A 13165-nucleotide genomic window follows, 5' to 3' on the forward strand; every position below is an offset into this window, starting at 1 on the left:
CGAGTAGCTGGGATTATAGGCACATGCCACCATGTCCAGCTAATTTCTGATTTTTTTTTTTTAGTATAGACGGGGTTTCACCATGTTGGCCAGGCTGGTCTTGAACTCCTGACCTTGTGATCTGCCTGCCTTGGCCTCCCAAAGTGCTGGGATTACAGGCATGAGCCACCATGCCCAGCCCATTTCTGTTTATTCACAAGGGATGGATGTTAACTCCGAAGCACACATCATGAAGTCCATGACCGTCTGCCACTCAACAGGGACAGACGGAGTGGGGAGGGAAACATGGACTCGCCGCGCCCCACAATGCCTCCAGTTACACTGCATTTATGCCATCAAATCTTCATTTCCACCTCCTCAGTGACTTCCTCCCTCTCCTGAAATGATCATTTTCTTACACAGTTATGACTTACCCTTTGGACTTGGGAGATTTACATCTTTCCAGGAGATGCTGCTCATCATCTTTGTTAAACAGTGAAGTCACTTCTTTCCAACCTCGGAAACTTGCTCCCTGAACCTAATAAAAGGTTAAGAAAAATGTCAAATCTGATGTCATGAATCAACAGAATTCCGCTTTCTACTCCAATAACCATGGAGTTGAAATTTAGAAAAAAGAATTGGCAGAGCTTACATCTTAGCTTTCCATACCTGTGCGCACATAGTTTACTCCCATTAGCTACTAGTCATCTCAGCTGTTTTGGTATTGTGGTCCTAACAGCTTAACAGCTTATCAGTGATGCTGAGTAATCTAAATTTAGTATTAGACAAGTCAATATTTTGCCTCAAAAAGCTTATGAAAGTGATGCTTAAAATCAGACGAAGCTTCCCTCACAAATAAGAATTAGGTCTCCTTAAAACTTGGGAGATTGGGCTGGGCATGGTGGCGCATACCTGAAATCCCAGCACTTTAGGAAGCCAAGGCAGGAGGATTACTTGAGCCCAGGAGTTCAACACCAGCCTGGGGAACAAAGTGAGACCCCGTTGCTACAAAAAATACAAAAACTTAGCCAGGTATGGTGGTGCAAACCTGTAGTTTCAGATACTCAGGAAGCTGAGGTGGGAGGATCACTTGAGACCCAGGAGGTCAAGGCTGCAGAGAACTGTGATCTCACCACTGCACTCCAGGCTGGGCAACAGAGCAAGACCCCATCTCAAAAAACAAACAACAGCAACAACAACAAAACACATAGGAGACTGACCTTTGAGAAGGTTGTTACAAGAGGTCCCCTAGAAGGGGGTCTTCTCCAAGGTCCCCTGGAACAACTGTGCCACTACCTTTAAGCGTCAGCATCTCCATGGAGACAGTGACCCTTGCCCTAACTTCTACAAGTGTAGATTTCTGAGAAGAAATAATTTTGTTGACTGTAAACAAATGATTTTGTACAATTTTTTCATTTCTGACATCAAGATATAATTAATACCATCTTGGATACAACGAAATCCATTACTAAGAAGAATGGAGAAAACCATCTGAAAATCCGGCGTGTGTCGAAGGCCCTTCATATTCACTGATTAACATTTCCCAGGGTTCATCATCACATTGCTAGGGCTGGGAAGGGTCTCTCACGGGGTAGAGCCAGCTTTAGAATACTTTGCGTTGTTAAAAATATAATACAAAAATAAAGCAATCCTGAAAGCTGACCTGAGGCTGCAGCATGACACTGATCCGAGACAAGGATAATGAATACAATTCAATCAACCCTTTGAGGTGACCCAGTGATTGCCAGGTGCAATGTCTGGGGGTCTCCAGGGTGTAACACAGCCTCAGGAAGGGGCAAAGGGCAGAGATGACCCTGAAAACTAACCAGGGACTAAGGGGTCCCACTTTTACTTCCCATAGGCCAGACTCTCAACTCCCTGTCTGGGCAGAGGTCTGCATCTGTAGACGGGGGACAGGCCCTCCAACAGTTGTGACTGGAGAGGCGTTTATGAATCAGATACTGGGATAGGAGTATGATGGCAGTACCCACGCCAAAGAAACCATCACAACAAAAACCCTGGGCATCAGGTATCAGCTTTCCACATCACACACTGCACAAAAACCTACCAAAGAAACCATCACAGCAAAAAACACTGAGCATCAGGTATCAGCTTTCCACATCACACACTGCACAAAAACCGATCACACAACCCATGTCATGCTGACAGCTTTGGCACACTTGTATGCACATCAGGTAAAGGATTACGTCTGATGCGCAGGGCCCATGGCATGACAGAGCATGTGGCAGGATCCTATCAAGAAGTCTCAATTAAGAACATAATTCTAGAGGCTAACCCATCTGGACTCTGGAGGAAGGACCATGTGCAGTCACTATGTGCCCAGCACTGTGCAATGCAATCTCCACCTACCACGTCCCTCACTCTGAGCAATGCCCCATGAGACAGACACAGTGAAGCTTCGTGACCTTGGGGAACTTAGCTCACACAAATGGCCAGGAAGCAAAGCCAAGGCTTGAGCTAATGTCTCACTGCCAAGTTGTTATGTTCCCCATTCCCAGGCCTGCTGTGTCCCAACACCACAAGCCTGTGCCTCACCCCTCCATGGACTGCCCACCCCTTCCTTTAAGCTGTCGTCACCACCTTCAGATGCTATTTGCTCCACACACCACCTGCATGTCCTAAAGGTGTGATACGGTGTGGCTCTGTGTCCCCACACAAGTCTCAAGTCAAACCATAATCCCCATGTGTCAGGGGAGGGACCTGGTGGGAGATGACTGGATCATGGGGGCAGATTTTCCTCTTGGTGTTCTCATGAGATCTGATCATTTAAAAGTGTGTGGCACCTGTCTTTTCTCTCTCTCTATCCTGCCGCCATGTAAGACATGCCTAGCTTTGCTGCCACATAAGATGTGCCTTGCTTCCATTTCTGCCATGACTGTAAGTTTCCTAGGCCTCCCCAGCCATACAGAACTGTAAGTCAACCTCTTTTCTTTATAAATTATGCAGTCTCAGGTAGTTCTTTATAGCAGTGTGAAAACAGACTAACACAGAGAATTGGTACGAGAGGAGTGCGGTACTGCTATAAAGATACCTGAAAACGTGGAAGTGTCTTTGGAACTGGGTAATGGGGCAGAGGCTGGAATAGTCTGGAGGGTCCAGAAGAAGACTGGAAGATGTGGGAATGTTTGGAACTTCCTAGAGACTTGTTGAATGGTTCTGACCAAAATGCTGACAGTGATACAGACAATGAAGTCCAGGATTAGGTAGTCTCAAATGGAGATGAGGAACTTATCGGAAACTGGAGTAAAGGTCCCTCTTGCTTTGCCTTAGCAAAGAGACTGGTGGCATTTTGCCCCTGCCCAAGAGATATGTGGAACCTTGAACTAGAGGGAGATGATTTAGGATATCTGGCAGAAGAAATTTCTAAGCAGCAAAGGGTTCAACATGTGGCCTGGGTGCTCCTAACAGCATACAGTCATATGTGTTCACAAAGAGATGGTCTGAAATTGGAACTTATGTTTAAAAGGCAAGCAGAGCATACAAGTTTGGAAAATTTGCAGCCTGACCCTGCAAATGGTAGAAAAGAAAACCCTTTCTGGGAAGAAATTCAAGCTGCCAGCTGCAAAAATTTGCATAAGTAAAGAAGAGCCAATGTTAATTGTCAAGACAATGGGGAAAATGTCTCCAGGGCATTTCAGAGACCTTCATGGCAGCCCCTCCCATCACAGGTCCAGAGGCCTAGGAGGGAAAAATGGTTTTCTGGGCCAGGCCCAGGGTCCTGCTTCACTGTGCACCTCTGGACATGGTGTCCTGTGTCCCAGCCGCTCCACCTCCCGCAGTGGCTAAATGGGGCCAAGGTATAGCTCCAGCCATGACTTCAGAGGGTGCAAAGCCCAAGCCTTGGTGGTTTCTACATGGTATTGGGCCTGAAAGTACACAGAAGGCAGGAGTTTGGGAGCCTCTGCCTCGATTTCAGAGGAGGTATGGAAATGGCTGGACATCCAAGCAGAAATCTGCTGCAAGGGTAGAGCCCTCAAGAAGAACCTCCACTAGGGCAGCATGCAAGGGAAATGTGGGGTTGCAACCCCCACACCAAGTCCCCACTGGAGTACTGCCTAGTAGAGCTGTGAGAAGAGGGCCACCGTCTTCTCAGAATGGTAGATCCACCAACAACTCGAACCATGCACCTGAAAAAGCCACAGGCACTCAATGCCAGCCCATGAAAGAAATCAAATGGGGCTGTACCCTGCAGAGCCACAGGGTCTGTGGAGATGCCCAATGCGTTGGAAGCCCACCCCTTGCATCAGCATGCCCTGGATATGAGACATGGCATGTAAAGGGATTATTTTGGAACTTTAGGATTTAATGACTGCCCTGCTGGGTTTCAGACTGTAGCCCCTTGGTTTTGGCCAATTTTTCCCTTTTGTTGTGGGTGCATTTACCCAACGCCTGCACCTCCATTGTGTCTTTAAAGTAACTAACTTGTTTTTGATTTTACAGGCTTATAGGCAGAAGGGACTTACCTTGTCTTAGATGAGACTACTTACCTTGTCTCAGATGAGACTTTGGATTTGACTTTTGAGTTAATGCTGGAATGAGTTAAGATTTTGGGGGATTGTTGGGAAGGCATGACTGGTTTTGAAATGTAAGAAGAACATTACATTTGGGAGGGGCCAGGAGCAGAATGATGTGGTTTGTCTCTGTGTCCCCACCCAAATTTTGTGTCAAACTATAATCCCCACATGTCAGGGAAGGGACCTGGTGGGACGTGACTGGATCATGGAAGCGGATTTCCCCCTTGCTGTTCTTGTGATAGTGAGTTCTCACAAGATCTGATCATTTAAAAGTGTGTGGCACCTCCCTGTTCTCTCTCTCTCTCTCTCTCCTGCCACCAAGTAAGATGTGCCTTGTTTTCCCTTCACCTCCTTACGTAAGTTTCCTGAGGCCTCCCCAGCCACATGGAACTGTGAGTCAATTAAACCTCTTTTCTTTATAAATTACCCAGTCTCAGGTAGTTCTTTACAGCAGTGTGTAAATGGACTAATACAAGGTGATTCCCCTAAGATTCCATTTCTGGTATCATAAGGAAAATCAACAGGAAATGAGAATTATTGAAATATAAATTATTACCTAGTGTTTCCATTGAAATTATTAGGAATAAGATGCCAAAAAAATAGTCTCTAGTTTATGAACTTCAAACAACGTTTTTGTTTTGTTTTGTTTTGTTTTTGGAGGCAGGGTCTCTCTGTTACCCAGGCTGGTGGCCTGGCCTACTTCCTTACAAGAATGCCTTAATCTCCCATTTCTGCATACAATTTTCCAGGAATTCCACCCTTTGAACACCACGCTGGGCTGGCAGTAGAACCCACATTTCCAGTTGTGTGGTCTCCACTAACCACACCACTGTCCCTGTAGCACCTGGGTGGCTGCTGCACATCCCATCAGATGACCCTGGAGCTGGGACTCCATCCCACCACCAGCTTCCTGAGCCCCTGCTCTAACATGCACCTCCATGGAGAACAAGTAAGGGAATCCCTCTCTACTGCCAGGTGAGCAATTAGAAGAGGTTGGAGTCCTAGAAGGTGCACAAACAGACATGATCGAAGTGTGAGCGTGAGGAGTGCTGTGAGGCCACTCCTCCACTCATCCACTATGCGGGCAGAAAGAATCCATCAAAACCAGATATCTCGGTCTTCACCTGAAGTCTCCCACATTTCCCTCTGAGCATCCCCCGGGAAGGACAGGAGGGAAAGTCCTCACCTGAGCACTCTGCTCCTGTAGCCAGCAAGGCTGGCCCTTGAGGTGGAGTTCCTGAAGGGCCCAGGAAGGACATGGACATTGTCCTGAGGTGGACAAAATCTTAGGTGGCGACAGCCTAAGTGCTGCTCATGGTATGGGGCATGAAGAAAGTTCTCCTCTTCCACGGGAAAAGCCCTGTAGAGTGTTCTATGGGAAGGCAGAAAAAACCTAAACACCTCTTGAGGACCAAGAAGAATGATGGTAAAACATTCTTAAAACTAGGATTCAATTCAGAGAGAAAGTGACATCCAAAACAATGAAGACAGATGAGATGTGCCGTAAAACGCTGGTAATGACCAAGAAGTTAGGCCACAGAAATGAGAAAGTAAGTTCCTGCACAAAACAACGAAAAATTATTTTTCCTGTTTTAGCTATACCTTAGTTGTAAAAAAGTGCTTCATGTTTCATGAAGAAAATCTATGCAATATTGTAAAGAAAATTAATATCCATAATTTACCAAAATTATTCCTGTTAGGTTAAACGGCAGTGTCTTATCAAAAATGTGCAGAGAGGCCAGGACCTCTGGCTGGCATTGAATACACAGGGAGCAATAAACCTCATCGGCAGGCCCCACCAGTGCGCACGTCCAGATCCTGTCCATGAGCACAGAGCTTGGGTGTGGCAACCCTGAAGGCCTTGTTTAGAAGAACTGAACCTGCCAATCTTCACCTCCTGTAATCAGAAAAGAGATCCTCATCTAACCAAGTGACACTCTCAGAAGTGCCATCCTTCATACTTAATCTCACAATTTGTAATCTTGAAATCTTAAACAAAATGTCCAAGATACAGTGTCATTTGCGTTTTCTCCTATTTTTCATTAAATGTAAAATTCAAGCATTAAGTTCTGAATTATCCCAATAAAGCAGATGGAAATTTCTCCTTTTGCCACAGGAAGGGCAGGTGTATCGGACTCCGGCCCTGGGAGAAAGCCTCCAGGCTGCTCCCTGCAACTCTGGGTCCTGACAACCAGGGCAGGAAATAGCACAGCAAGGCTGAACAGTGACACCTAAGACCAACCCAGTAATGTGGGCAAGACCAGGAAGTGTTACACCACAGTACCTGTGAAGGACAGAATCCAGCAAGAGGGTTAACAAGAACATGAGCAGGCCGGGCGCGGTGTCTCACACCTGTAATCCCAGCACTCTGGGAGGCCAAGGTGGGTGGATCACAAGGTCAGGAGATCGAGACCATCCTGGCTAACACGGTGAAACCCCGTCTCTACTAAAAATACAAAAATTAGCCGGGCGTGATGGCGGGCGCCTGTAGTCCCAGCTACTCTGGAGGCTGAGGCAGGAGAATGGCGTGAACCCGAGGAGGTGGAGCTTGCAGTGAGCTGAGATCGCGCCACTGCACTCCAGCCTGGGCGACAGAGTGAGACTCCATCTCAAAAAAACAAACAAACAAAAAAAACATGAGCGTAATGCTCGGGTCAGCTCACTGCATGCCACATAACCTGCACCTACCAGTTCAGTCCAGAGTCCATGTAATTTTAGTATTTCATTATAAAGCAAATTTCCTGGTATACTTCTTTTGTTTTGTCTTTTTGAGATGGAGTCTTTCTCTGTTGCCCAGGCTGGAGTGCAGTGGTGTGATCTTGGCTCACTGCAACATCCACCTCCCAGGTTCAAGCAATTCTCCTGCCTCAGCCTCCTGAGTAGCTGGAATTACAGGCGATGGCCACCACACCCAGCTAATTTTTGTATTTTTAGTAAAGATAGGGTTTCACTATGTTGGCCCGGCTGGTCTCGAACTCCTGCCCTCAAGCGATCCAACCGCCTCAGCCTCCCAAAGTGCTGGGATTACAGGCGTGAGACACCGCGCCCGGACCTTTCCTGCTATACGTTTTAAAGGTATTTAAAGTCATAGGTCAGGAAAAATTAGAAACCTTTCTTAAGCCAGGTATCCCAATTTCTCATCAGGAACACTGCATCACAGCAGGGTGACCATGTGCAGGGCCAGCATGGGACTCAGTACAGACGGTTTGCCGTTATCAACCACAGGGCACTGGCGTCCCTGCAGTCATGGGCCCAGAAATACAGCTCTTTGTGAAGATGAGGGGAACATGGAAGGAGCTGTGCATGACCCTGACCCACCCTCTCCAAAGCCCACCCCCAGAACAGTTCTGGACAAAGGCTTAGCGCTGGCATTCAGTGTCTTAAAGCTGTTCTGGGGGTGGTGACGTGGTGAGGGAGGACTCTGGGAAGAGTGAAAGCACAGGCCCCAGGCCTCTTCTTGGCATCGCCATTGGCTACCACCTCCCACCTTCCTGAATACTGTGAAAATGCTGTGATCCTGGGAACACAAAACACAGTGCCCCCAACAGGCTAAGGTTTCAATTACGTACAACAAAAAGGCACAGAACAGCTTAGTCTTCTTTCATCCCTTCTAAATTTGGGAACTCACAGTGAACTTATCTTTAAACACACTGAAGCTATTGAGAAACTGGCCATTCTGGAAAACATTGGTTGATGAACCCAGTCCTGACATCCAAGTCAAACTGTGAGACCAAATCCCACAGTCATCAGATGAGACCCATCAGGCCACAGGAAGGCCCGCAGCCGTGTTCACCAAATTGCAGGGTGCCAGGCCAACGACCCTTCAGGGTGTGGTGGGGCTAGGCGGCCATAGCGAGACCAGGCTCCCACCAGAGGGGCTGCTGATCTGACCCCCAGCCTGCCTGAACACAGTCTGACTCAAAAAACTAGCTCGGGTGACCTAGGCATACCTCAGCACACACAAACATGGAACCCAGAGCCATGCAGTGGGACCTACGCCTACCTCAGCACGTGTCAACATGGAATCCAGAGCCACACACTGGAACCAATGCCCACCTCAGCACACATCAACACGGAATCCAGAGCCACACACCGGAACCCATGCCCACCTCAGCACACATCAACACAGAATCCAGAGCCACACAATGGAACCCATGCCCAACTCAGCATGCATCAACATGGAATCCAGAGCCATACACTGGAACCAATGCCCACCTCAACACATGTCAACACAGAATCCAGAGCCACACATCAGAACCAATGCCCACCTCAGCATGCACCAACACGGAATCCAGAGCCACACATCAGAACCTGTGCCCACCTCAGCACGTGTCAACATTGAATCCAGAGCCACACACTGGAACCAATGCCCATCTCAGCACACGTCAACACAGAATACAGAGCCGCACATCAGAACCAATGCCCACCTCAGCATGCAACAACACGGAATCCAGAGCCACACATCAGAACCTGTGCCCACCTCAGCATGTGTCAACATGGAATCCAAAGCCACACACTGGAACCAATGCCCACCTCAGCATGTGTCAACACAGAATCCAGAGCCACGCATCAGAACCCATGCCCACCTCAACACGCACCAACACAGAATCCACAGCCACACACTGGAAGCAATGCCCACCTCAGCACACACCAACATGGAATCCAGAGCCACACTAGGGCAACCCACGTCCACCTCAGCACACGCCAACATGGAATGCAGAGTCACACACTGGAACCAATGCCCACCTCAGCACGTGTCAACATGGAATCCAGAGCTGCACATCAGAACCAATGCCCACCTCTGCACGCGTCAACACGGAATCCACAGCCACGCATTGGAACCCGTGCCCACCTCAGCACGCACCAACACGGAATCTAGAGCCATGCATCGGAACACGTGCCCACCTCAGCACACACCAACACGGAATCCAGAGCAGCACACTGGAACCAATGCCCACTCACCATGCATCAACACAGAATCCAAAGCCACACATCAGAACCTGTACCCACCTCAGCACGCACCCAACACGGAATCCAGAGCCACACACACTGGAACCAATGCCCACCTCAACACACACCAACACGGAATCCACGCCCACATCAGCACACACCAGCATGGAATCCAGAGCTACACATCAGAACCCGTGCCCACCTCAGCACGCATCAACACGGAATCCAGAGCCACACACTGGAACCCATGCCCACCTCAGCACGCGTCAATATGGAATCAAGAGCCACACACTGGAACCAATGCCCACCTCTGCACACACCAACACGGAATCCAGAGCCACACAAGGGTAACCCACCCCCACCTCAGCACGCACCAACATGGAATCCAGAGCCACACAATGGAACCAATGCCCACCTCAGCACAAGTCAACATGGAATCAAGAGCCACACACTGGAACCAATGCCCACCTCAGCACACACCAACACGGAATCCAGAGCCACAAAAGGGTAACCCACACCCACCTCAGCAAGCACCAACACGGAATCCAGAGCCACGTGTCGGAACCCAGTCCACCTGAGCCTGCCCTGGGTTCTGACCGCAGCCCTGTCACTGGTTGCTCAGTCCCCTCATCTGTCAGATGCCAGCTGTGTGACCTCCAGGAGTTGTTTTTCCTCCTGTTAATTTCTGCAAACATATCTTTTAAAAACAAACGGAGGACTGGCCTCAAAAAAGGCCCCACTGCAGCACTGGGTCTTGTGTTTCCTTTGATATGCTCCAGACAGCATGTTTTGGGTAGTGTTTTCTTTTTCCCTGAGTTTTAACCTGGGGGTGCAGCAATAAAGCATTCACTTCAAGAGTCCTGAAGTCAGTGGGGGGAGGCAGGGGAAGGGCCTAGAGCAGTCCAGGAGCCCCTAAGAAACCCACTCACCAAGTGAAACGAGAACGGAGCCCCCTACCCTGCAGGGTGGATCCAGTTTGCAGAATGTTCAAAGAGGCAGACTCTGGGCTCTGCCACAAACCGTGATTCGCAGACAGTGCAAACCGTAAAACCACTCATGTTCAATATCTGCAGTTTTGGGAATAAGAAGTCAGCACTCCAGCCCTGTTTGGTGAACTGGCAATTCTTGTAAGAATCACCAGGTTACAATTTGGGTCAACAGACTTTGCCATTTATTTCACAATAGTCAATCTGAAGATCTTGATGCCAGTTAAGTTTGAACACACCAGAAACTGGCATTCAAAACAGTCATCGAGACAAATGAACTTGTGCTCTCTGCTCATTCACATTTCGGAACCCAGACTTATAAATTCATTCTAAGCCCATGAGAGGCATTATTAATCATTTCTCATTCTGAAAAACTTCTACCTATGTCCTTTTTAAGATACATATTTGGAAAGATTTGGGGAACAGGGAAAGGGAACTTTTACTTCCCACACCGTTTTTAACAAAGTATTTTGATGAAATAAAAATATTTCATACATGATGACTTCATATTCAATTTACAAAAACAATACACATAACCTTCAGATAATTTTGTATGCCTGATAAAAACAAACATTAATTACCACATTTGGAATTACTTATGTAATCTAAAACCAAAAATTCTCAACACTGCCTACCTGCAAACGGACCCACAGACCTAAAACAGCTATAGCCACCCTTGGTACAAATATTCTTTTGTTCAGCAGGTTTGTTAAGAACTGAAAAGGATTAATTCCGTAAGTGCATTAACTGTACAAGTCCACAAATACCTCTTCCACCAAGTGCTAAAGCAGTTTTAATAACAGGTTCAATATGAGTCTTGTGAAACAGGGGTGGGAAGGATCCTGTTAAAGGGTAAATATTGTTTTCCATAATATTGAAGATGTGTAAAATTTCTCTTCTGTTTTTATAAAACTAGAACAAGCAATCCCAATGAAGAAACATAATCCATGACTACTGCGAACCGAAATCCAGACTGCAGGTGCAGGAAGGTTGCTAGAAATACCTCAGACGGGAACTTAACCCATGGCCAGGAGCCAATGTCAGCCTCCATCAACTTCCAGCCATTTCCCATGAAGGCCATGAAGATCTCCAGCCACAGCAGCAGGAACGCATGGCCAACAGAAACCAATGCCATCTGTCAGTGCTTCACTGAGGCTTTAGATTGAGAACTGTAAGAAAAATGATTACTCTCACAGCCCAGGCTTGTGTATACCAGAAGAGAAATCGTGAGCTGCTGTGTAAACACCCTCCGATGAACATGAAAAACTCTCAAACTGCAGGGTCCAGAGGCAGCCACACAAACCCTCAAATCACACGCAAAGTCAGCACGTAGGCAGACACACAAACCCTCAAATCACACCCAAAGTCGGCACGTAGATATCAACTTGCTAGCTTCACCCAGTGCCAGCCAGGACAGGGTCCCTAAGCAGCAGGGTAGTGGGAGCTATCTGGAAATGTGGGCATGGACATCACTGTGGCCTAATGGCTGGGGGTCTGGGTGTCCTCTTTCTCCTCACCCATTCAGCCATGGCCGCTTTCCACTGCCACAAAGACAGAGGGGCAGAGCCACATGAACACTATTTTTTCAAGAAACGAATACTCCAGATTTCCCTGTTTTTGCTGTAAGAAAATTGAAATTATTTAAACAACAAAAAACACACATAGGATCTCTGGAAATGCTCCCAAGGGCACATAGTAAGTGAAGAAATATCTATTCATGAAAATTCTTAAACATTTGGTACAAAAGATGAGCAAACAAGACCATTTACCCTCCCAGCTCGGCAGCGGGGGGAGGGGAGGAGAATCCACTCAGATCAGCCACAGCCAACAGCACAGGCTCCCTCTCACTCCAGCTCCAAGTGGAACGACTTTCATCCCAGGAGGAACTGGACTTCAGCTTCTCACATGCCGTCCCCAGCTGCCTGTGGCTGACACTAAGCCGCAGCTGAATGCTACACAGAGGTGAGGACTCCCTTGTTCCAGCCCCACTCCCGGGAAGGAGGCGCTGCTGTGCATGTGCTGCACTGCAAACAGTGGAGCCCTGATCACCCTTCCTGGGCTCGAGAGGTGACGGTTCCACCCCAGGAGAAGCAAGCTGATACGACTCCCCACTACGGCAAATGCTCAGTTCCCAGAGCAGGACTGTCACTCGGAGAGCAGCTTGCCTTTGTCCCCATCCCCAGCTCCAGAGTCTTGGCTGAGAGATGTCCCTGGTGGAGAAGCAGGACATAAAGCAGACAGCTATGGACCAGCACTAACCTTCAGAGCTGTGGAAGACAAAATCTCTTTCCAAAGGAGCCCACTTCATTTGCACAGAGTGTAGAGAAGCTTAAACATAAGGGAGCTCTTAGGAACACTGGAGTCTGTGGTGAAGTGCAATGGGGAGGTATTAGTTCATTCTCACACTGCTATAAAGAATAATACCTGGGACTGGGTAATTATAAAGGAAAGAGGTTTAATTGACTCACAGTTCTGCAAGCTTAACAGGAAGCATGGCTGGGAAGCTTTGGGAAACTTACAATCATGGCGGAAGGCAAAGGGGAGGCAGGCACCTTCTTCACAAGGCAGCAGGAGGGAGTATGAGCATGCACAGGAAGAACTGCCACTTTAAAACCATCAGATCTCATGAGACTCACTCACTATCATGAGAACAGTGTAGGGGAGACTGCCCCCATAATCCAATCACTTCCTTCCCTCAACACATGGGGATTGCAA

General features: G+C 47.9%; 1 protein-coding gene across 4 annotated transcripts in view, besides 1 other annotated feature; it reads right to left on the bottom strand.

The window, feature by feature from the left end:
• The window catches only part of TDRP (testis development related protein), a 55835-nt gene that overhangs the window by 4135 nt on the left and 38535 nt on the right, over window positions 1-13165 (bottom strand). For all 4 annotated transcript variants that reach the window (NM_175075.5, XM_047421392.1, NM_001256113.2 and 1 more), the window contains one exon: window positions 414-517. In NM_175075.5, coding sequence (NP_778250.2) covers window positions 414-517 — 104 coding nt within the window. The remainder of the gene's footprint in view (window positions 1-413; window positions 518-13165) is intronic.
• Window positions 8644-9218: an enhancer, noted in NCBI's record as "H3K27ac-H3K4me1 hESC enhancer chr8:452724-453298 (GRCh37/hg19 assembly coordinates)". NCBI's record gives its function as "activates a minimal SCP1, AML or CMV promoter by ChIP-STARR-seq in naive H9 embryonic stem cells {active_cell/tissue: H9 hESC(naive)}" and the evidence as "EXISTENCE:reporter gene assay evidence [ECO:0000049][PMID:30033119]".

The sequence above is a fragment of the Homo sapiens genome, chromosome 8 (assembly GCF_000001405.40).
Source record: "Homo sapiens chromosome 8, GRCh38.p14 Primary Assembly".
NCBI lineage: Eukaryota > Metazoa > Chordata > Mammalia > Primates > Hominidae > Homo > Homo sapiens.